The sequence below is a fragment of the Homo sapiens genome, chromosome 6 (genome assembly GCF_000001405.40).
Source record: "Homo sapiens chromosome 6, GRCh38.p14 Primary Assembly".
Lineage (NCBI taxonomy): Eukaryota > Metazoa > Chordata > Mammalia > Primates > Hominidae > Homo > Homo sapiens.
Window position 1 is genome coordinate 95,616,075 of NC_000006.12, and position 24,563 is coordinate 95,640,637.

General features: G+C 38.8%; 2 annotated features.

Moving 5' to 3' along the window:
• Positions 19,146-19,646: an enhancer, noted in NCBI's record as "H3K27ac hESC enhancer chr6:96083096-96083596 (GRCh37/hg19 assembly coordinates)". NCBI's record gives its function as "activates a minimal SCP1, AML or CMV promoter by ChIP-STARR-seq in primed H9 embryonic stem cells {active_cell/tissue: H9 hESC(primed)}" and the evidence as "EXISTENCE:reporter gene assay evidence [ECO:0000049][PMID:30033119]".
• Positions 19,647-20,147: an enhancer, noted in NCBI's record as "H3K27ac hESC enhancer chr6:96083597-96084097 (GRCh37/hg19 assembly coordinates)". NCBI's record gives its function as "activates a minimal SCP1, AML or CMV promoter by ChIP-STARR-seq in primed H9 embryonic stem cells {active_cell/tissue: H9 hESC(primed)}" and the evidence as "EXISTENCE:reporter gene assay evidence [ECO:0000049][PMID:30033119]".

The following is a 24,563-nucleotide window of genomic DNA, read 5'->3' on the forward strand; positions in this document are numbered from 1 at the left end:
GCTTTTCTCTTTCTGTTACTTCCTTGCTCTGCTGTCTCTTGCCTTTCTGCCTTTGACTATGGATGAGGCAGCCTGAAGGCCCTCACCAGATGTGGTTCCTCAATCTTGGAAATCCCAACTTCCAGGGCCTTGAGACAAATAAACTTCTTTTCTTTATAAATTACTCAGTATATGGTATTCCCATCTTGGATCTCTGCTCCCTATATTTAAGTGCAATTTTCATCAGCTGCTCTAGCCATGGCTCAAGTGGTCCCAGGTGCAGCTCGACCTGCCACTCCAGAGGGTACAAGTCATAAACCATGGCAGATGTACAGAATGTAAGTGGTAGGGGCATGGCTTCCTCTACCTAGATTTCAAAGGATGTCTTGGACAGCCTGAGGGCCGAGGCAGAGACTTGTCACAGGAGCAGAACCAGACCATCATAGAAAGCCCCTACCACAGCACTGCTAAGCAGAAGCATGAGGTTTCTCTGTGCCACCACAGAGAGTGGCAATGCCACTCACACTAGTTTATTCCTACTGGGAAGAGGACAATAGTGAGAGAGAATGGCAGTGCTTAGTGGAGCCCTGGGAGTAGGGTCACACCTAAGACCCAAGAACTATAGTGATGCCGGCTTACAGAATCAGCCCAGGAGAGCTGCAGACAGGAGACTCCAACCTCCCTCTCTCTGCTGCCTTTATATTCCAGTGTTTGATAAAAGTAGGTGCAAATTTAGGGCATGTTGAATTGAAAAAAAATTCACATGAAGCTTTACATATACAAAAAATGTGCTATAAGAAGTTTCTGTTCATGAATATTTCTTATTAGTCATTATTCTATTTTCTACAGCAAGAAGATTGTACATGTGTTCCATGATTTGATGGTTATAGCCAAATAATACTATACTGGCATATATAATTTCCCTTAATCTTCTTTAAATAAAATATTAATAATAAAATTGTAGTTATACTTCAGGGTTTTTTAATAAATGAGCTATTTATACACAGTCAATTTCAGAAAGGTATAAGAACAATCAAAAACAATAAACAAAATAATAATTGCTTACATAAATAAGGCAATTGTGTTGATATAACAAATTAGTGGCAGAAATTCTGGAAGTAGCCCATTTAAACCAACTTTCAATCAGTCATTTACTTTAAGAGTATAATGTTTGAGATACTCATAGCTTCCAACCTATTTGCATAATCCCTGTGCTCTCTCCACTAAATGTTTTGCTAAAATTAAACCGCTATTAAAACAGAACATGCACTAGAAATTATTAAAGAGTAAATATTGACATGCTTTTCAGTCAGTATAACAATTTAGAAAACAGTATGTTGAATATTAACCTCATTTCTTCATTAATCATGATTCCTAATATACAAATAATTCTTTAAAAGGAGAGCAGAACCAATTCTTTTTGTTTATGACAAAGTCCTACAAACACTACTCAGAATATTTAGTAACTGACCTAAGTATGAAAATCGGGTTGGATAAGCAGTTATCCTAGGAAATCACATGGAGAAGCCCTGCAAATTTTGAAGATATTGTTTAGAGTCAAAAGATAGATAGACTCATATATTTCATTCATGTTCCTATTTCCTGAAACCGTCACTACTTTCTCCTCTATTTTCACTTAGAATTGATAATTTTGCTTCTTACTTAACTGAGAAAATACAAGCAATTGAAGATGACACCGAATGAGCCATCCTTTATATAATTCCCTTCTTTTGAGTGTGAGCTGAATCTGTAATTTACTTGTAACAGAGTATAGCAAAGATGGAGGCTTTTGAGGATGTAATCGAGAGCTTTAATCAGTTTAAGTTAATCAACAGGTAGATAATGCTGGGTGGGCTGACCTAATCAGGTGAGCCCTTTAAAACAGATCTAGAGGTTAGAGACAGAAGAAATTAGAGACGCTGTCCTGTTGGCCTTGAAGAAGTAAGCCACCATGAGTCTACAACTTCAAGGAAAGAAATTCTGCCAAAAAAAAAAAAAAAAACAAACCCAAAAAGAACCAAAAAAAAAAAAGTCGGCTTGGAAGAGTACCCTGAGCTTACATGAGTCCTCAGTGCTGGCTGACACCTTAATTGTAGCTATGTGAGACCCTGAGCAGAGGACCTAGTGAAGCCATTCCTGATATACTGCCTCATGGGAACCGACATAATAAAAACATTGTTTCAAGCTACTGAATTTCAATAATTTGTTACACGGCCTTATAAATTTAATATGCAATCAAAAGAAAATATCTATATGCTTCTACCACCAAAGTACCCTCTTGCACATGTGTGTTCTTTGCTCTGCCAACCCTTCTTTTCACTGTGAATAAACTGTCCTTTTCTTCATCAAAACCAATCCCTCTTTGGGGTCCTAAATCCTATTTCCTCATGTCTGCTAAAAGGCATCTCTATGACCATGGTCCTTTCTCACTCCTACCTTATTAATTTACCCCTTCTCTTCTCTGGTAAATAGTTCACAAATAGGATCTGTTTTTTTCCAAATTCAAAAACCATGCTTCCTCTGGTATTCTTTCAAAGAAAATAACCCCAGACTAGACATGTACAAAAAACATCTGACAAACCCAAACTGAGAGTCATTCTGCAAAATATTGACCAGTAGTACATAAAACATAGGATTATGAAACAAAGAAAAGATAGAGAAACTGTGATAGACCAGAGGAGATTAAGGAGATATGACAAGTAAATGAAATATAGTATCTGAAATTGGATCCTGGAACAGTAAAGGGACATTAGGAAAGAACTGCTGAAATCTGAAGAAAGTATGAGGTAACCGATGTTAGTTTCTTAGATTCAACAAATATACCATGGTCAACCCCACTTTCTTCAGATCTTGCTCAAATACCATCTTCCCAGCAAGGCCTTCTTTTACACTCTATTTTATTAAAGATCATACCCCTTACTTCTATTTAATAAACATACACAGTGTGCTTACTTTTCTACAATGAGGAAATAAAATGAACATAATTCTCCATTCCCAAGGAGTTCAGAGTTTTGAAGCAAAATAATAATTTTCTCAGAAGATATCTGGTTTTTGTTTTTTCATTGTTTGTTCTGCCAAGTGTTTTGTTGTTTTGTTTTGTTTTTTAACACTTTCTGATAAAAAATCTCACCTTTAAATTTGAGGAACCACCCTTCCCTACTCTTTGTGGTCTCAGTGGGGTCATTCATCCCTGGACCTTTAGGGTGCACATATGATATTAACTGGCAAATTGATCTACTCCCTTTCCTACAGTGACAGCTCCAGGGCGAGGCACATGAACCAAGCCCCACTGAGCTTTAATAACATAGGCTTGTAGCACTCAACAGATAGATTTTGTCCCACATGGAAAGCTTCTATGAACAAAACCAACAGAGAGGAAAGCAAAAGAAATAGGTGGGCAAAAAGACAACTTGATGACATATTTTGAATCCCCAGATTCTACCTTGGATCATGTCTGCCTTTAGCCTCTCTATTCCCTTAGCCAATAAACTTTTCTTTTTTGATGAAGCTAATTTAAGTTGATTTTATGTTATGGAACTCGAAGGGTTCTTACTAATAAAATCTTACATAGTGTTATAAGTCTTAAAATAGAGGTAGATATGGTGGACGCATAAGGAAGAGTCAATACTTTTTGAAATGCCAAAGAAATACTCACAGAGGAGTCACCCCTAAGTTTTAAAGTCTCAATAAGAACATATGAACAAGCACAGGAGCAACCTTATTAAATTATTGAGTTCCTACTGTGTGCCAGGCACTGTTTCAAGTATGTTACATACATCATGGATTAGATCTTATTATTCTCACCAGTTTACTAACTGAGGGAGAAAGCAGTTAAGTAAACTTGCCCAAATTTATATCTGAGAATTAAATTCTTATCCACTGAATTCCATAGGATGCTATTTTCAAGAAAACAAATTTTATAATATGTAATTTTTAAAACGTTTGCCATTTTGTTCTTATAACTCAGGAAAGTGGCACACAAAATCTTTATTATGAATTGGAATATCTTACAAGAGGAATGACTTGAGCTGTCTAAAACCATCTAACTTCGGTTTAATTAAGGTGAAGAATATACTGAAGAACAAAGGGGAAAACAGATACGTTGCATAGTTGATAAGAGAAAAATTACTATTATTTCATTGATCAGTTTTCTGCTACATGTGTGCTTCTACTCCCTGATTAGAGTAGTTATTGAGGAGCATGAACAATTGTATATAAATCCTTATGAGAATCAAGCATTTCCTCTAGTGTGGCTGATGTATTTAACCAGGTAATGCTGACAACACCTGCTTGGATGGGTTAGGGGGTATTTTTTGTAGGAGTGCAACTAGTGAATCAAAGAAGACATATTTTGAGAAACTTTAGGGTAATTTTTTTGTTGTTTATTTTTGAGTTTTTTTTTTTTTTTTTTTTTTTTTTTTTTTTTTTTTTTTTTTGAGACAGGTCCTCACTCTGTTGCCCAGGCTTTAGTGCAGCCTTGAACTCTGGGGTTCATGTGATCTTTCAGACTCAACCTCCCAAATAGCTGGGATTAGGCATGTGCCATCACACCTGGCTACTTTTTTTAAATGTCTTTTTTTGGAGATCGGGGTCTCACTATATTGCCTTAGCTATTCTCAAACTCCTGGGCTCAAGTGATCCTCCTGCCTCAGCCTCCCAAAGTGCTTGGATTACAGGCATGAGCCACCACATCCTGCCTTATTTTAACAAAATAATATGCTAAATTCCTTAAGGAAAAGTGACAAATATTTTTGAAGATGCATGAAGACTCCTATAAAACTTGTCAGTTTTGAGAGACCTTTAAGTTTCTTTTATTTGCTCACAAAATTTAGTAACATCTAATACCAGTTGATATGTGGTCTCAGTGGGGTCATTTTTCTATTTGCTCTAGCTTGTTTAACTTTTTGTCTTGTACATATTCCTCTTATAAAATAAGTCATTCATTCTATTCAAATACTAACTCATATGTCTTTGCTGTGTCCCCACCTAAATCTCATCTTGAACTGTAGCTCATATAGTCCCCATGTGTCATGGAAGGGACCTGGTAGGAGATACTTGAATCATGGGGGTGTGTTTTTCCTGGGCTGTTCTTGTAATAGTGAATAGGTCTCATTAGATCTGATTATAAAGGGCAGTTCCCCTGCACACACTGTCTTGCCTGCTGCCATGTAAGACATGCCTTTGCTTCTCCTTTGTTTTTCGCCATGATTGTGAGGCCTCCTCAGCCATGTGGAAGTGTGAGTCCATTAAACCTCTTTTTCTTTATAAATTACCTAGTCTTGGGTATTTCTTCATAGCAGTATGAAAATGGACTGATACAATAACTGATTAGCTGCAAATGTGATTAGAGTACCATGAATAGATCTCAGACATCTCTTTATCATTAATGAAACACCCCAAACTTTTCCTTTAATTAAAGTGTCTTTCATTAATTGACAACTGTTCTTTTATTGCTCAGCATTATGGCAGCATATGTTATTAAGGAAAAATGGAGAAAATATTGTTTTTCTTTAATGATGCCCTGCAACACTTTGGTCTTTTTTCAAAGTTTAACTTTCACAGGCACTAATCCAAGAATTTATAAGCTGAGATATTTCTTCGTTATTGTGCACGTATTTCCATGAACACTAGAGGAATGTGTTTTTATTCACCATTTAGAAGCATCATGCCATCTTAATTACTGTGCTCTAAGAAATAAAACATTTTAAGCTATGAATTGAAAAATCAATTTTATCTAACTAGCCTTGAGTAAGTTGACAATTTATTAGTGGTACTTCACTGAAACCTAAGCACTTTGGGAATAAGTTAAAAAACACTTCATTTTCCAATTTTAAAAATATAGAGTTCTTTCTCTTCTTCTTTCATTTTTCCCTTCTTTCTCTTTACTCCTTCATTACTTTCTGTCTTTTCCACCTATTTCCTACTTCTTCCCTTCCTCCCTCCCTTCTTTCTTTCCTAATTTTTTGTTTCTTTTTAAAAAAACAGTCTAGTGTTACAAATGACATTTCTTCAGACCAGATTTGTTATAGGAAGAAAAACTGAGATGAAATGCAGGATGTCATGCTTTTAAAATTTTTTTATTCAGTTTATAAATTGAAATAACAAATTAATTTTTACATTTTATAATGTGCCTTAACTTTATTGGTTTTGAAAGTAAACTGTAGTTTTATGGTCCATCACACTTTTTCATAAATTACAAACTCTGAATAAGATAATAGCTTGATATTACATCACTTCCTACATATATTTTGGGTTACAGCATGTTGATTACTGATTTATCATAGATGAAGATGAAATTCATGACTAATATTTTTGAGTTCCTACTAACTCTGCTTTAACTTTGTTATCTCTTTAGCCTTCAAAGCATCCTCTATGCCAAGGGAGTTATCCTCAGCTTCATTTTTATTTTCCTCACCTATAAAATGAAAATAATAGTAGCACTTACCTCATGGAGTGATGTGCTAATAGTTGAAATAAATGATGCATGGTAACCTGCCTAAAGTGGCTGAGCTAACAAGAGAAAAGACCAAGGCTTTTTAAACCTAAATCTGTCCAGTTCTAGAGCATGTGTGCTTAACTATAAACTATTGTGCTGTAGCGACATACGAAAGCTCACTGCTGCTGGAAAAATCACCCTCCCTAGCTCCTGCACTGCTCTCTATTAGATTGAGGAGAGGGAAACAGAGCTTGTCTTACTCTCACTATGACCATGGTGCCCATTCTCCAGTTACCCCAACCTATTTCCAAGAAGGATATACAATTAGAGTTAATCATCTATCTCTCTATAAGATACCATCAGGACCAATGCCATTGTGTCCTACAACCCTGTTTATCTTAGTCCTTGACAAGAAGTCCAAACCTGCATATCCTTCCTCAACTTATCTCCAAATGGCACTGAACAATCCTTTACCATTTTTCCCTGTAGCAAATGAGTCTAAAATGACCCCCAATTATCCTAACCTCCTGGTACTGAACTTTTTGTGTGTTTTTTTTTCCTCTCAAGAGTGGTTGTGTCCTTTGAATTACTTCTAATAACAAAACACAATACTGCAAAGGTGATGGCTTATCATATCTGTGATTATGATACATAAGATTGTAATGTCCATTTTTCTAGAAGACCCTCCTCCTTGTTGGTTTTGATGAAGCCTTACTGAGGAGGCCTACATGACAAAGAACTGAGGGTGACCAGTCAACAGCCAGCAGGAAACTAAGGCCCTCAATGTACCAGTCTACATGGATCCACATCATCCCAACAACCACATGAGCTTAGAAATGAATCCTTCCCCAGTCAAGCCTTGAGAAGACAGCTTTGGCTGAGATCTTTTTTTTAATTGAAAAATAATTTAATGATGAAATATCTCATATTAGTTAATATCTTGCTTGCCACAATGTTTCATATTATCATTGGCCTACATCTCAAAATACAACATATAGAGGACAAAGTTTATCATTAATAAAAGTAAATGTAAACCTATAACTCAATGGAAGGGAGGAGCTGAATTCTTGTAAGTCTGAATTAGATAGATCATCAGGGTTTTTTTCTTTATTTCTTTTAAAAGGAAAAATAACAGGATACATATATAGAACATGCAGGTTTGTTACATAGGTATACATGTGCCATGGTGGCTTGCTGCACTTACTGACCCGTCTTCTAAGTTCCGTCCCCTCACCCCTCTACCCCCAACAGGCCCTGGTGTGTGTCGTTCCCCTCTCTGTGTCCATGTGTTCTCAATGTTCAACTCCCACTTTTGAGTGAGAACATGTGGTGTTTGGTTTTCTGTTCCTGTGTTAGTTTGCTGAGGATGATGGCTTCCAGTTTCATCCGTATCCCTGAAAAGGACATGATCTCATTCCTTTTTTTTTTTTTTTTTTTTTTTTTTTTTTGTGACAGAGTCTTGCTCTGTCTCCCAGGCTGGCTGGAGGGCAGTAGTGGGATCTTTGCTCACTGCAAGCTCTGCCTCCCGGGTTCACGCCATTCTCCTGCCTCAGCCTCCCGAGTAGCTGGGACTACAGGTGCCAGCCACCACCTCCGGCTAATTTTGTGTATTTTTAGTAGAGATGGGGTTTCACCGTGTTAGCCAGGATGGTCTTGATCTCCTGATCTCATGATCTGCCCACCTCAGCCTCCCAAAGTGTTGGGATTACAGGATCTCATTCCTTTTTATGGCTGCATAGTCTTTCATGGCGTATATTACCACATTTTCTGTATCCAGTCTACCATTGATGGGCATTTGGGTTGGTTCCATGTCTTTGCCATTGTAAATAGTGCTTCAGTAAACATATGTGCACATGTGTCTTTATAGTAGAATGATTTCTATTCCTTTGGGTATATACCCAGTAATGGGATTGCTGGGTCAAAAGGTATTTCTGGTGGCTAAAATCTTGACTGCTGTCTTGAGGAGAATCAGATAAGCCATAACTGGGCTCCTGAACCACAGAGATTGGAAGATAAAAATGTAGGTTGTTTTAAGCTGCTGAGTTTATGATAATATTAATACTGAGCAATATGCAATTCATATACTCCTGAATCCCTGAAACTCTATCAATGCCCTCTGGAATTTACTCAGGAAATAGAGGTCATCAGAAAAGTATTTCTACAGCTTCTCATCAGCAAGTATTACAAAATCCTACATATATTTTTCTTTACTATTCAACCATTTCTCTCTTATAGTGTATGAACTTTCCATGTTCCTAAGACTGTAATTTGAATTGTATGTTTGATCCCATTATCTCACTGCTTCTTAAAGGCTTTGATTCCAGAATTATTTTTTCTCTCACCATCATCCTCACCATCACATTTTTTCCCTATGGTATATTTCCCATTCATGTAGAAGAATGTGTAATAGTGCCATCATAAAACAACAAAACCTTTTCTTGACCCCATGTCCTGCCAGATATAGCCATCTGCTCCTTTTTACAGCAAATTTCTCAGAATGATGGCTTTACTCTCTTACCTACTTCTCCTGCCAGTCTCTTTTGGATCCAGTTAATTTTATTTTCCTACCACTCCACTAAAAAGGCTCTTATTAACCTCCCTGATGACTTCCAAATTGACAAATTCCAAAGGTATCTGTAGTCTACATCTTATTGTAACTCACAGCCGGGACACAATTGATCCCTTCCTTCTCCTTGAAGCACTTTCTTCCCTTAGTTTTGGTGACATCACCCACACTCCTGGGCTCAAGTGATCCTCCTGCCTTGGCTTCCCAAAGTACTGGGATTATAGAAGTGAGTCTCCACCATACCTGGCCCCTCCTGCCTTTCTTAACCACTGAAGCTTGCAATGCTTCATAACTCTGCTCTTGCACATCTTCTCTTCCACATCCACATTCCTTTCCTAGATGGTCTTTTCTAATTACATGGGTTTAACAATCATAGATATGCATATAATATCCAAAACTGTATCTGTAGCCCTGAATTTTCTTCTGATCTCCAGGCTCATACATCTAATCTTCAGTTGGATTTTTAAGAGACAACTCAAATTTAACTTTGGAAATTGAACTCATAATTTTTCCCATCCCCTAAACATTTGGTTTCCCAAGAAGTGGCATTAGCATACTTTCTGTTCCTCATGCCAAAATCCTTGGAATCAATCTTGATTCCTCTTCTTATTTCACAGCTCATATCCATTCCTTTGTTCAGAATCTTCCGGTTCTACTTTTAGAATATGTTGTAAATACAAACCTTTCTGTTAGTAGCTGTGTAATCCTTTCTCAAATCTTAAGTTTCATCATGGTATTTCATTTCTCAAAACCATCCAATGACTTCCCTCAGCACTAGGAATAATATTCTAAGTATTTACAGTAGCTGATAAAGCCTCAATGAGTTTTTAACTCATAGTCAGTTTGTCACTTAATGCCTAGAAATGCCATTATGCTTCTGTCCTGACCATTTTTCCTTCATTCTCCCCTTCCTCACTCAACCGCACCCATACAGACCTCTTTGCTATCCTTAGAACATTTCTATGCAGGTGTGATCTTCAGGTTCCTGCTTCCTTTCTCCTTGCTTTTTCCCCTTCCCAGAATGATTGTCCCCCAAAATAATCACAAGGCTCTCTGCTCCCTTATTCCATTTAGGTCTCTGCTCAAAAGTTTTTCCCCATTCACAATGGACAATGTAAAGTAGCAGTCCAGTTTTTCTCTATTTCCTTCATTACTTCACTTTTCTTCGAGGGTCTTTTCCCCCAAAGACAATATTATATAGCTATGTTTTTAGAGCTTGCCACCTCTTGTGGAATGTTAGCTCTGTATCCTACTGGGTCCTTTGTTTACTCACTGATGTAATGCAATGCAGACGACTTCATGCAGGTGGGTGAAGCATGAGCATAGATGCAAATCATAAAAATGGAAATACCAAATTACCATCATTTGGTGAATTACAGAAAAGATAGGTTTCCTTTAAAATTTTTATAGCTTGATGAAGAATTTGCTGCTGTGCAATAGATCCATTACCTGAGTGTCGTGGTTTATTTATAGCTCTTTATGTGATTTCAATGATCTTATTACTTTGCTGATAGTTTTTTCTTTTTCTTTTTTTCTTCTGGAAGGTAGAAGGCTTTGTCTCCATTCTCCTTGTCCCGGGCCATCATGAGTCACTTAAAATAATCCCTCTTATAACTTAGCAAACTGTCAAAGCAGTATATAACAAGGTTGTTAAAAAATTCTCGTCAGTTTTCTGTACCTAGAAAACCCCATAGTCTCTGACCAAAATCAGTGTACAAAAATCAATAGCGTTTCTATAAACTAATAATATCCAAGCTGAGAACCAAATAAAAAATTCAGTCCCATTCACAATGGACACAGAAAGAATAGAATACCTAGGGATATGACTAACTAGGGATGTGAAAGATCTGTACAAACAGAATTACAAAACACTGCTGAATGAAATTGGAGATGACATAAACAAATGGAAAAACACTCCATCCTCATGGATGGGAAGGATCAGTACTGTTAAAAAGCAATTTACTCTATTTCTATCAAACTACCCAAAGACATTTTCCACAGAATTAGAAAAAAATTGTTCTAAAATGTACACAGAGCCAAAAAAGAGCCCCAAATAGCCAAAGCAAAGAAGAACAAAGCAGGAAAAAAATCACATTACACAACTTCAAACTATACTACAAGGCTATGGAAACTAAAACTTCATGGTACTCGTAAAAAAATAGACACAGGCCAATTGAACATGTTAGAGAATGTGAAAATAAAGCCACATAACTACAAACACCTGATCTTCAACAAAGTTAATCATATCAAGTAATGGAGAAAGGGCTCCCTATTCTGTAAATGGTGCTGGGGTAACTGGCTAGCTACATGAAGAAAATTAAAACTACACTGTTTCCTTTCACCATATACAAAAATCAACTCAAGATGGATTAAACACTTACATGAAAACCTAAAACTATAAAAACTTTGGAAGACAAGGTAGGAAATACCATTCTGGATATAGGACCGGACTCAAACAGCAATTGCAAGAAAAACAAAAAATTGACAATTGGTACTAACTAAAGAGCTCTGCCCAGCACACATAGTCACACACACACACACACAATCAACAGAGTAAATATACAACCTACAGAAGGGGAGAAAATATTTCCACACTATGCATCTGACAAAGGTCTAATATCCAGAATCTATAAAGAACATAAACAACTGAACATGCAAAAAAGAAAAAACATTAAAAATGGGCAAAAGACATTAATAGAGACTTTTCGAAAGAAGACATACATATGTCCATTAAACATATGAAAAGATGCTCAACATCACTAATCATTAGATAATTGCAATTCCACACCACAATGGGATACCATTTCAGTATCAGAAGGGCTATTGTTAAAAAGTCAAAAAGTAACAGCTGCTGGTGAGGTTGAAGAGAAAAGGGAACACTTATTCACTGCTACTGGGAATGTAAATTGATTCAGCCACTGTAGAAAACAGTCTGGAGATTTCTCAAAAAACTTAAAACAGAACTGTCATTTGACCCAGCAATCCCATTACTGAGTATACACCCCAAGGAATATAAATCATTCTACCACAAAGACATATGCATGTGTATGTGCATTCACGATAGCAAAGACATGAAATCAACCTAGATGCCCAACAGCAGTGGACTGGATAAAGAAAATATGGTTTATACATACCATGGAATACTATGCAGCTATAACAAAAATTAGATCATGTCCTTTGCAGCAACATGGATGGACTTGGAGGCCATTATCCTAAGCAAACTAATGTAGTAACAGAAAAACCAAATACCACATGTTCTCACTTGTAAGTGGGAGAAAAATATTGAGTTCACATGGAGACAAAGAAGTGAACAACACACACTGAGGTCTACTTGAGGGTGCAGGGTGGAAGGAGGGAAGGATGGAAAAAATACCTAAGGGGTACTATGTTCACTACTTAGGTAACAGAGTGATCTGTAAACTGAACCCCCACAACACAAAATCCACCCATGTAATAAACCTGCACATGTACCCTGTTAACCAAAAAGCTGGAAATTTAAAAAATAGTATTTACTGAGAAAAATTAAACTATAAAAAATATTGAGATTGGAAGGAAAAAGAAAAAAATTCTCATCATTTGATCCTTTTGTGTGCTAGGCCTTTCCCTGAGGTAAAATATTTCATTAGGAAATTTTGTAAGATTTGTTACCTAATCAGTAATCCTCTAATTCGCTGTGATCTTTTCCAGATGATAAAAAAAATTAAAACGATTTTTCAACACTTTTTAAAGAGCTTTTTTTTGTCCTACCTCCTTCTAACTTACTCTTTAAATGTGCCAATTTACCCAAGAATGTTTCTGAGTATATCACAAATGTTTTCCGTTTCATCAATTGTTTTTGTCATTATTTATATGTTACAAAAGAATCCTACTCACTTTTTCTGAGCCTTCGTTTAACATACGTCTCACATACCTGCTATCCTCATAGTAACTTTTTAACACACAGCCAATTTGTCACTTAGTGCCTAGAAATGGTGTTATGCTTCCACAAAGATGAGTCTATGCCATTCTTTCACAACTCCACAGTGAATAATATAAATACAAAACTGTCCTTTGCAGTGCTTTTACGTTTAAATGGCTTTCTTGAGTTCCCTCTGAATATGAGAGTCTCTTATTAAAAACATTTCAATTTTTTTTTTGAGTCAAAGTCTCGCCCTGTCGCCCACGCTGGAGGGCTGTGGCACCATCTTGGTTCCCTGCAACCTCCGCCTCCCGGGTTTAAGTGATTCTCCTGTCTCAGCCTCTGAAGTAGCTGGAACTACAGGTGCGTGCCACTGCGCCCAGCTAATTTTTTGTATTTTTAGTAGAGATGGGGTTTCATCATGTTAGCCAGACTGGTTGTGAACTCCTGACCTCAGGTGATCCACCCCCATGAGCCTCCCAAAGTGCTGGGATTACAGGCGTGAGCCACTGCACCCGGCCACATTTCACTTTCAATATGCCTAGACCTCTGATAAAATCAAACTTGCACACACTATTTGTAAACTATTTACGTAAAACAAAAACACATAACTTTAGAACTAGGCTTTAAACTTGCAGAAAACAATCATTCAATGGCTTCAAATTAGCATTTTTCCCATTACCCATTTCTCTTCCCCCATTTAGAAAGTGTAGTTCTGTGCTTCGTGCATTTGAGATTGAAATCTGGCACTAAGACTTGTTCTTATAACGGCAAATAGTTTCCATGGAAACACAGCATGGCTTCTCAAATGTCAGCTTCTCAAACTCTCACTTGCAGTTGATGTAGGATCCTTCACTGAAGTGTGACCATCTCTTCCACCTCTGTGAAGTAGGTAGGGAATGCTGGAACAGGAAGAACCATCAAGGCCAAACTATAGAGTTAAATAGAATGTCCACATCTAAAAATATGAGGAAAACCCATCAATTAAAAATTGGTGTTTTAAGAAGGAATAATTGGCCTCCTGCATACTAATCAAAAATCAGTGCAAGGAAAAAAACACAGGAAGCATATTGAGTTCCTTTTTCAGAGAATATATTAAAATAGCTGTCCCCTGCATCTTCCATTGCTCTCAAATCTATTTACATAGCAAAGCCTCTATGCTCCTCCCAGAGTTTAGGAGGCCTGGCCAAGCACTGGGGTCAAAATGTGTAAAATGGGCATTGACAGAGTAGACAGGGATGTGGGCATTTTGCCCAGTGGACCTCACACTCTGAGCAGGACCCCTGTATTGCAGGAAGGTTGGCAAGTGTTAAGCTGAGCCTGGGGCCTCACTCTTCCTGGACAATACCATTGGAAAGAAACTCAAACACAGGGCTGTTTCGAGTAAAGAAAAGGGGGATGATTGGTTTGACATTCTGTACATCTGGATTTATTTTCATGAGCACAGCTAAATGCTTCCTGCTGGGGCATCAGACCATGAAGTGAGTCTTTGCCTGATATGGTTTGGCTGTGTCCCCACCCAAATCTCATCTTGAATTGTAACTCCCACAAGGCCCATGTGTCATGGGGGGGACCCAGTGGGAAGTGATTATTATGGGGGCAGGTCCTTCCTGTGCTGTTCTCATGATAGTGAATGAGTTCATGAGATCTGATGGTTTTAAAAATGGGAGTTTCCCCGTACAAGATCTTTTTGCTTACTGCCACCCATGTAAGACATGATTTGCTCCTCATTGCCTTCTGTCAAGATTGTGATGCCTCCCCAGCCATGTGGAACTATAAGTCCATTATGTCTTTCTTTTGTAAATTGCCCAGTCTCAGATATGCTTTTATCAGCAGTGTGAAAATGGACTAATATAATAAATTCGTACAGTAGAGTGGGACTCTGCTGTAGATACCCAAAACTGTGGAAGTAACTTTGGAACTGGGAAACAGGCAAGGGTTGGAACAGTTTGGAGGGATCAGAAGACAGGAAAATGTGGGAAAATTTGAAACTTCATAGAAACTTGTTGAATGGCATTGCCCAAAATTCTGACAGTGATATGGACAATAAAGTCCAGGCTGAAGTGTTTTCAGATGGAAATGAGCAACTTGTTGGGAACTGGAGCAAAGGTGACTCTTGTTATGTTTTATCAAAGAGACTGGCAGCATTTAGCCTCTGCCCTAGAGATTTGTGGAACTTTGGACTTGAGAGAGACAACTTAGGGTATCTACTGGAAGAAATTTTTAAGCGACAAAGCATTCAAGATGTGACATGGGTGCTGTTAAAGACATTCTGTTTTAAAGGAGAAATGGCATAAAAGTTCAGAAAATTTGTAGCCTGACAAATCAGTAGTTACAAATTTCTCCTCAGAAAATCCCATTTTCTGAGGAGAAATTCAAGCCAGCTGCAACAACTTGCATAAGTAATGAGGAGCCGAATGTTAATCCCCAAGACAACAGGGAAAATGTCTCCAGGACATGTCAGAGGTTTTCATGGCAGTCCCTCCCAACACAGGCCTGGAGGCCTAGAAGAAAAATACGGTTTCATGTGCGGGGCCCAGGGTCCCTGTGCTGTGTGCAGTCAGGGGATTTGGTGCCCTGCAGCCAAGCTGTTCCAGCTGTGAGTAAAAGGGGCCAAGGTACAGCTTAGGCTGTGAGGATGCAAGCCCCAAGCCTTGGCAGCTTCCATGTGGTGTTGAGCCTGAAGGTGCACAGAAGTCAAGAACTGAGGTTTGGGAACCTCCACCTAGATTTCAGAAGATGTATGGAAATGCCTGGATGTTCAGGCAGAAGTTTGCTGCACGGGCAGGGATCTCATGGATAACTTCTGCCAGGGCAGTGCAGAAGAGAAATGTGGGGTCAGAGCCCCCACACAGAGTCCCTACTGGGCTGCTGCCTAGTGGAACTGTGAGAAGAGGGCCACTGTCTATCTTCCAGACCTCAGGATGGTAGATCTACCTATAGCTTGCACTGTGCACCTGGAAAAGCCACATACACTCAACACCAGCCCGTGAAAGCAGCTGAGAGGGAGGTGGCACCCTGCAAAGACACAAGAATGGAGCTGCCCAAGACCATAGGAACCCACCTCTTGCATCAGTGTGACCTGGATGTGAGATATGGAGTGAAAGGAGATCATTTTGGAGCTTTAAGATTAGACTGCCCCACTGGATTTCAGACTTGCATGGGCCATGTAGCCACTTTTGTTTTGGCCAATTTCTCCCATTTGGAATGGCTATATTTACCCAATACCTGTACTCCCATTATATCTAGGAAGTAACTAACTTGCTCTTAATTTTACAGGCTCATAAGCACAAGGGTCTTGCCTTGTCTCAGATGAGACCTTGGACTGTGGACTTTTGAGTTAATGCTGAATTGAGTTAAGACTTTAGGGGAACTGTTGGGAAGGCTTAATTGGTTTTGAAATGTGATGACATGAGGTTTGGGAGGGGCCAGGGCAGAATGATATGTTTTGGCTGTGTCCCCACCCAAATCTCATCTTGACTTGTAACTCCCATAATTCCCATGTGTCATGGGAGGAACCTGGTGGGAGGTGATTAAATTATGGGGGAGGATCTGTCCTGTACTGTTCTTGTGATAGTGAATAAGTCTCACAAGATCTGTCAGTTTTGAATACAGGAGTTTTCCTGCACAAGCTCTCTTTTTGCCTGCTGCCATCCATGTAAGATGTGACTTGCTCCTCCTTGCCTACCACCATGATTGTGAGGCCTCCCCAGCCATGTGGAACTGTAAATCCATTAAACCTCTTTCTTTTGTAAATTGCCCATTCTTGGTTATGTCTTTATCAGCAATGTGAAAACAAACTGATACACTCCCCCATTTCTTCTTGCCATCGAGTTACTGTACTGTTTTCTCAGATGGATCTGCTACAGTCCTTGCTGACTTCACACCTTCAATATGTCTGCTTCCCTCATCACAATGTTATGTGAATGACAAGGAGTAAATCAGTGGCTCCACCAATACAGGTGTATGCTAGCCTGTAGGATCCCCCCTGCAGATCTTTCACAGGATTTAGATAGATATAAGAAAGTCATTTGGGGCTTTCCTCTCTATCAATTCCAAAACAGGCAAAGAAGAAAAATATTAGCATATTCATGTCACTGCAGCCAGAATTCTGGTAGTAAAATTAAGCAGAAAATTGAGGCCATGAATTCAAATAACCATAAGCAAAATAGGCTTTTGATTAAAGTACATTGTAAAATCTTGTTTGAGGAGTTTCTGTGAACATTCCTTAAGCCTGAAATTTACCTTCTTTATTTTGATTGTTGATTTCTTCATGTTAAAGAAAGACTTAAAATAACTATGAGGACTGGTCAATAACTTTAAAAGTTTTGTTTTATTTTCCCCCATTCTGGGACTCTCATTGATCAAACTTTGGCCTAAGATACTACATTAGTTGGCTAGAGAATAGCCCTAGTCTTTCTCCTCCTTCCCTTTTTCTTTCTCCTTCTCTTCCTTTTCTTTCTTTGTTTCCTCCTCTTCTTCATCATTTGCATTCCTCCACCCTACGTTTCCCCCTCATCTTTCCAAATCTTTTTGGTAACTGTCACCTTGTTTTTTTTAAACTTAGTTTTATTTTTAAGTTTGCGTATGATTTAAAGAATTAAATAGTTCTATGAATTATTTTATGAAAAAACTGTATTCCCTTCCTACCCAGTTTCCTTTACACTATAAACAACCACTCTTAAATCTTTAAGTTGATTCTCTTTGAATTTACTTTTATATCTCTAAGTAGCATGTTAATATTGACACTTGTTAATTTTATCAGTTTTAGGCATTATTAGTTTACTCTTATTATGGACCATTGTTTAGCGTTCACTCTCCACGTTTTCATCCACTCCTGCATGCTTCCTGTTTATTGAAATTTTGAGTGAACTTCTGCAGCATTTTGTAAAAAATTGCTCGGCTTTTGGTTTCCAGTGTTACTTTTGAAAAGTTCAATATTAATTTTGCTGTTTCTATGAAATCTGGTTTTGTTTTTGTTTTGGGTCGCTGTTGTTGTTGTTTTTTGTTGTTCCACTTCTAGAAGCTGATAAGATGGTTTTTATCCCCAGTCTTCTGAGATTTCACAATCACATGTCTTGGTGTTGGTTATTTCATTCATTGTGCTAAACTTTCTGTGATCCATTTCAAAAGGAAATGACATATTCTCAGTTCTATAATTGATTTTTGATTTATTTCTTTCATGATTTTCTTCTTCGTTGTTTTTTACACTATGCTTATGCTGTATTCTTTCTGTTCTCCCTTTCTAGAAACTCTTACTATTTTGATGTGGTAACTCCTGGACTTTCTAATTTTAATATCTTTTGTTCTTTACATCTTTTAGCCCTTTTGCTCTGTATCTTAATATATGCCCTAAATTTTAACTTCTCATCTTTTCCTTGAAATTTTATTTTCTTCTGTATACTTTTTAATTTTTAAGAAATGTTTCTTCCTCCAAACACTCCTTTTTTAATAGCATCCTATTCTGGCCTAGTGGATGCTATATAATTTTTATGTCTCTGGAGAGGTTAGAACTAGTCATTTTGAAGGTATTTTTCTCATCATGTAGTATTTCCTCCAAGTTACCTTTTTACTCTGTTTTTAGTGTTTGTTTTGGCCTCTGTACTTCATGTCAAGTGCACTCCTCAAATGTCAGGTTACCCTTGAAAGAATTGAAGATTATTTCTTTCAATTTCTTGCCTGGCTGCTAATTTGCCAGGGGCCAAGTGAGAAAAAAACTTTGGGGACTCAATAATACGTGTATTTTACTTACTTATTTTCTTTAAGGACTCCAATCTTCTGCTTGGCCTGTTTTCCTCCAGTCCAGAAACCCTTAGTTTGACCCAATACAGAAACTTAGAACCTTAATCCCTTTCTGGATAGAGCAGGAGCATTACATACCTTCAAGAATAGGGTACGTGAAGGTCTACTGCACCTCACAAAGATTTTTTTCAGCAGCCATTTACTGTCCTACCTTTTGCCCACTTCCAAGGGTAACTATTAAAGTAATTCTGGAGCCTTTTATAGGTTCCAAGGTATAAATATGATTGTTTCTCTGTTTTGCTCACTGTTGCCTTAGGGTTCAGTCTTCTTGGGTGGACCCAATCAGTCATCCTTCCTATTTCAGCTTTCCAGCTTTTACATTTTTTTGCCATTGTGTCTTCTTCCATTTCTTTGTCCTTGTTATTTTTTACCTCGTGAACATTTTTTTCCAGGTGTCACTAATAGTATTTAAGGAAAGAGTAGAATAAAATATATACATCCAACATGCCATCACTTGTAGTTTTCTTTATATCTCACTGCTACTATATATGAATCTAGTAACTTATGTTACTAGTTATAAGATTAAAAGATACATAACTACATGACTTGAAGAAAGGGCGGAGAGACATCAGGGAGATGACGGGTCAACCAGCAGCAGAGAGGAGCTGCCCACCACAGGTGGCAGCTTATATGACTTATGTTTTAACTGGAAAAGCACATGAAGATCTGATACTGTTATGGGATCTTTGGGGTGTTGCTTTCCTGGTTGGAAAACTCTGTGGCTAGTGGCACCTTTGCTCAAGTTTTTCTTAGGCCCACTGGCCTCATGCTGCCCTCTCAGCCTGGCAGACTACACTTGGGCTCACACTACTAGCTTGGATCCCACACCTCCAAGGGAGACTGTGAGTCAGGCATGGAGCAGTGAGGGATGTGTGAGCAAGTGTGGGGTCAGGCCACTGTGCACAGTTAGGTGTGCCGGCTACTGTCATGGATTGGGCAGCTCCAAGTGTTGGTACAGATGCCAGCTCTCTGAGAGGCTGCAGCTGAACCAGGGGCACCATAAGCAGCTTCCCCAGCTGGCACCAGAGATTGTGGTGGTGCCTAGAAGTTTGGAGACACCAGGAACCACAGGGTCCCAAAGAGGGAGTCACGGCCTTTGTTTGGGGAGCTCCTATGTCTGGGATCCCTGAAGGGCCACAGCTCTTCTCTCCTTCTTTTTCCCTGAAATGTGGTGAGCAAGAGATATGTTTCAGTCCTATTTGTGTTACAATTCTTTTAGCCTTTCCATTCAATGGGCCTCGAGTTCTTCTCCTGCATCTAGGAAGAATGAGGTACATGGACAAGTGGAGGTTGAGCAAGACAAAGAGGAGCTTTATTGAGCAATAGAAGAGCTCAGAGGAGGCCTGCAGTGAGCAGCTCCTCTCCATAGCCAGGGTGTCCCGACAAGTGGTCAACTATGGGTTGGCAGGTCCTCCTGATGAGAGTTCATCTTTCACCAGAGAGGGTAGTTCCTCTCTGCAGCTAGTCGTACCATTGTCTCCTCAGCTCTCAGCAGACAGGAGAACCTGGGGCGGGCAGCTCCTCTCTGCAGCTGGTTGACCTGTCGTCTCCCTGACCTCTCTCTGCCCTTTCTTCAAGTTAGGCTGAGTCCAGGGTTTTTATGGATCTCAGAGGGGAGGAAATGTGTGCTGATTGGTCCATGGGAGGCCATGCGTGGGCCCAGGGAAAAGCACCACACATTCCCACTCCAGTCCAGAGGACTGGCTCCCTGGCCCCCAGGCTTCAGGCTTGAAGGTAGGGCTTCACTGGGTACCCACTTCCTTCTACCCAGGAGCCTGTCTGCCTCCTGCCACCATTTATGGCACGCAGGCTGTTCATGTCAGGAGCACCTGCAGTCCAGCTCCGGGCTGTCCTCAGTCCTTCCTACCTCAGCCTCCCTCCCATGCTCGTTGGTGCCCAAAGTCTGGAGTGGGCTAAGGAAGCAGGGGGCTGGCATGCCAGCAGTGCCCCAAGCGTGCACACACCCGACCTGGCTGTGATAGCACCCAGGCCCATACTTGCTCTGAGATCAGAGCAGACAAGAGGAGCAGGGAGAGGCCAGGCAGTGGAAGCAGACACTTCTGAGCCTGTGCGGGGCAGAGGGCCTCCGTAGATCCCTAAGAGTGCAAAGATGCCTGGGTCCACAGCGGTGGCACAGAGGCTGCCACTGCACCTGGCGAGCTTTCACCCTGCCAACTCGAAAGGGGCAGGGCTCTCACTTGTCCCTGGCTCCTGACAGCTCTGTGGAGCGTGCAACCCAAACCATGCCTCCTCGTAGCCTAAGGTGGGGGCTCCAGGTCCTCACTGGGTCCCTCTCTGCCTACTCCTCCGTGCCTGACCACACTGCTTTCCTGCCAAGAGCAATGCGCTGGCTACCAGGGCAGCGGGCTCTGGCAGGCTGCTCCCAGGGTCAGGCTCTGAGGACTACCCGCCTCTTCTCCATGTTTACCCTGCAGCATACAGCGGGGGAGAGCGGTGATGCGGTACCAGGGTTCAGAGTGGCAGAGGCTCTGGGCCTGGGAGTGGGTCCTGCTCAACCATGCGAGAGTGGGGGTGGTGTAGTCGCTTGCCTCAGGGATGCAGGGCACAGGGCACTGTTACCACTGCTGCTCCAGCAGCCACTCCTGCCGCCAACAACCTTGCCTCCCAGCTGCAGCTGGTGTGATGGCAGCGACCGCTCTAGACAGACCACCGCTGCCATCAATATCTTGTTTCACAGATGAGAAATCTAACCTCAGGAAAGTTAATTGGCCAGCTAACAGAGCTAATCAGAATAGATTTGGGATTTAGACACAGCTTTTTTGACATTGAAATTTTAACTCTTAGAATCTGAAAATTTTAAAACAAAACAAGACAATAAATTATCTGTCAAAACCTTCATACCGTGAACTGAATTTTACAGAAGTCAAAAGATTTTTTTCTTGGACAGACTGCCAGCTAGGACTTAGGCCTCTTGACAATGAATCCATGTTATCACAAATTCTTTTTAGAGTATTTCCTTCAAAGGTAGGAAAGGTGGATTTACAAGAGAGAGTGGACATGGTTTATGTTTTGGAAAGTGAAAGTAAGTGACATTTGTTCATTGGAGTTGTCCTTGTGTCTGTAAATTTTTAAGACTGGCTGAGTGTTGGCCCTTAGCAAAGTTCTGAAAAGGTCTATCTCTGCTACAAGAACACTACTCAGAACTAGTTGGATTGTTCAGAGCCCACACAAATGGTGAGGTAAAGATGGTACCACAGATGGTAAAGGTGGTTTTCATATAGAAAATGCTACTTCAAATATATATGACCCAAACTAATTTTAGTAAAGATAAAGCAACTGTTAATGAAAATGCTCAATAATGATAAAACCAGAGTAAATCTTGACTTAAAACTAAGAAATTAAAATAAAACAAATATGAAACTTTCTAAACTTTTTACTATCCCCATACTTTGAGAAAATACCCAGAAACAAATTTACATTTCAATATATAAAAAATAAATGCAAATAATTGGATAGGTTATTATTAGCTTCAGGGAATATTTACTGTCATGCTGTAAAACTTAGGTAATAGGATTTTATAATAAAATGCTAACTTTAATTATAGCAAAGAGAGTAACAGCATAATAGTTAACATGTAAATCATATGCAATAGACTATTATTACGTAAAAATCAAGCTGAGTTTCCTTGCAAAAAAACCTGCATGTTTATTGAAAACAAATTTTAAAATATGATCAAGTCACTTTAGCCTCAAGATAGCCCAAGAGACTATCCTAGAGTTTTATGAAAATTAAAGGAAAAGATGTGGGCTTGATAATCTGTTTAAGTAAAATGTACGACTCTAGTTTATAAACACATGTAAAACTGACCCAAGTATGGCTTAAGAAATAAAACATAAGTTACAAAACTGACTGAATATATAAGTGGTGGTGGGGGGGGTTTCAATCTTTTAGCTACAGTTATTTGTCTGGTTGATTGCCATCAATTAATACCGTAAAATAATTTTCCTTCTCTTTTTAAAATTTGCTTTACCCAGAAGTGACTTGCAAATTACTTGGGCTGGAAAAAAACAACAACGACAAAAACAAACAAACAAAAAAAACATGTTAGAGGCCTTCCTACATGGTTCCTGGAGTAAATCCTTGACTTGGCACCATCTGGAACATCCAGTGTCAGCTCCAGGCTCTAGAGAGACTGATACTCAAAGTCAAGCAAGTTGCCTTTCTTGCTGTTCATTGAATAACTTTCCATTGGCACTTAGCAAAATATATGAGAAAATAAAAGTCAGTTAAAGAATGCATTCAGAAATCTTCTGCCTTCTTTCCTTCAAACCCTTGTTTTACTCTGTTTTTTAGTCTCTTTATTATTGGTGGCTGTCTCAAATGGTCAATCGAGTTCTCTTTTTTGGTGCATCTCTAGCCAGAGATTCATAATATTTTCTGAGCTTTCAAATTAGAAAAAAACCCTGTGTTATCACAAGGGTGATTGTGATTAGGTAGTAACGTAAGTCTGTCGAACTCTTACTATGTGTCTATCAATCACTGGGCTCTGGGTATTAACATATATTGGAAATTACATATAGAAGTATTAATCAATCTTGTTATTTTCTCTAATTCTATATGTAGTCCTCTGCTCTTACAGTTGCAACGCATCTTAATAAAATTACAAGACATTTATTTTTTAAAGCAAAGTTAAACTTTTATTGTGTCTTGATGTTTTCAGCAGTCTCTCACTTTAAAAAGGCCTGAAATAATAACTGTCTTCTTCAACTCATTTTTAGCTTCTGCAATTTTTTTTCTTTCTCCCTTAGGTTCTAACTGCTGTTGTGGTCTGATGCTAAAAATGTTTTATCTTAAAGGTCTAAAGGAAATGTTTTCTTCCAACATAACATTCTGTGCTCTTGGCTTGAAATTGTTCTATGAATCTGAAAATTTTCACTTATGACCCAGGAAACATTCCTCCTATGTTTAACTAACTCAAATACCCTTTTCCTTGGTTTTGATTTGCAGGTTAACTAAATGGACTCCCCATGGAGAACAGCAATCACTGCATGTCTTTTCTTTTGCCTTTTGGTAACTGGCCTAACCATTTATCAGAATAATTCCTATGTCATTGTTATTAAGTTTTGATTTGTTTAAAAAAACTGAGATTAAAAAATTAATTAAGGTTATTATGTCCATGTAATTTTCTGTATTTGCTTTTAAAGTCCTCTGCCATTAAGTTATAGCACTTTGATTCCTGGGTTTAAAAAAAACAACAAATCCTGCTAAATCTTAAACACTGACTGTAGTTAAAGCCTCATCTTTAGACCCAATAAAAGATGCCAATCAAAATAAACTGTGTTTGTGAGACACAGGGTCAGAATTTAAAACTATTCAAATCTTCAAGGCCCAGAGACTGTCATGAAAGAGGTGGGTGTGAGATTGTAAGGGCCAATTTTGAGACAAAATTAGTTCTGCTTTTAAATAAATTAACTTAATTTCAAAGGCACACTGATGCAAAACCAATATTTGGGCCCATGTGTCAGATTAACAAGGTTTTCTTGGAGCATTAACCCACTCCTTAATAAATAACTATAAAGATTATAAAAAGATTTATGGAAATCATATCTTATGACCAAGATGATTAAAATTTAATAGATTTTGTTTATAAAATTTTGAGAGATGGGTTTAATTGGCCTCATGGTGTCTTTATTATTAGGGATTATTGTTTGGGAAATAAAGCCTCCTCTCTCAAAGAATGAGATTTTTGCCTTTTTTTGAAATCTTTGAGTTATCACTTTGGCTAAATTAATGACTTATTTTACAATTACCTGTGATTCTACTTTGTGATATCAAGTGTTTTAAGCTATTTATATTTGACAAACTTTCCAAAATCAAACTCTAACTTTGGTTGTCATTAACTTTGATGTTAGGTCCCCTTG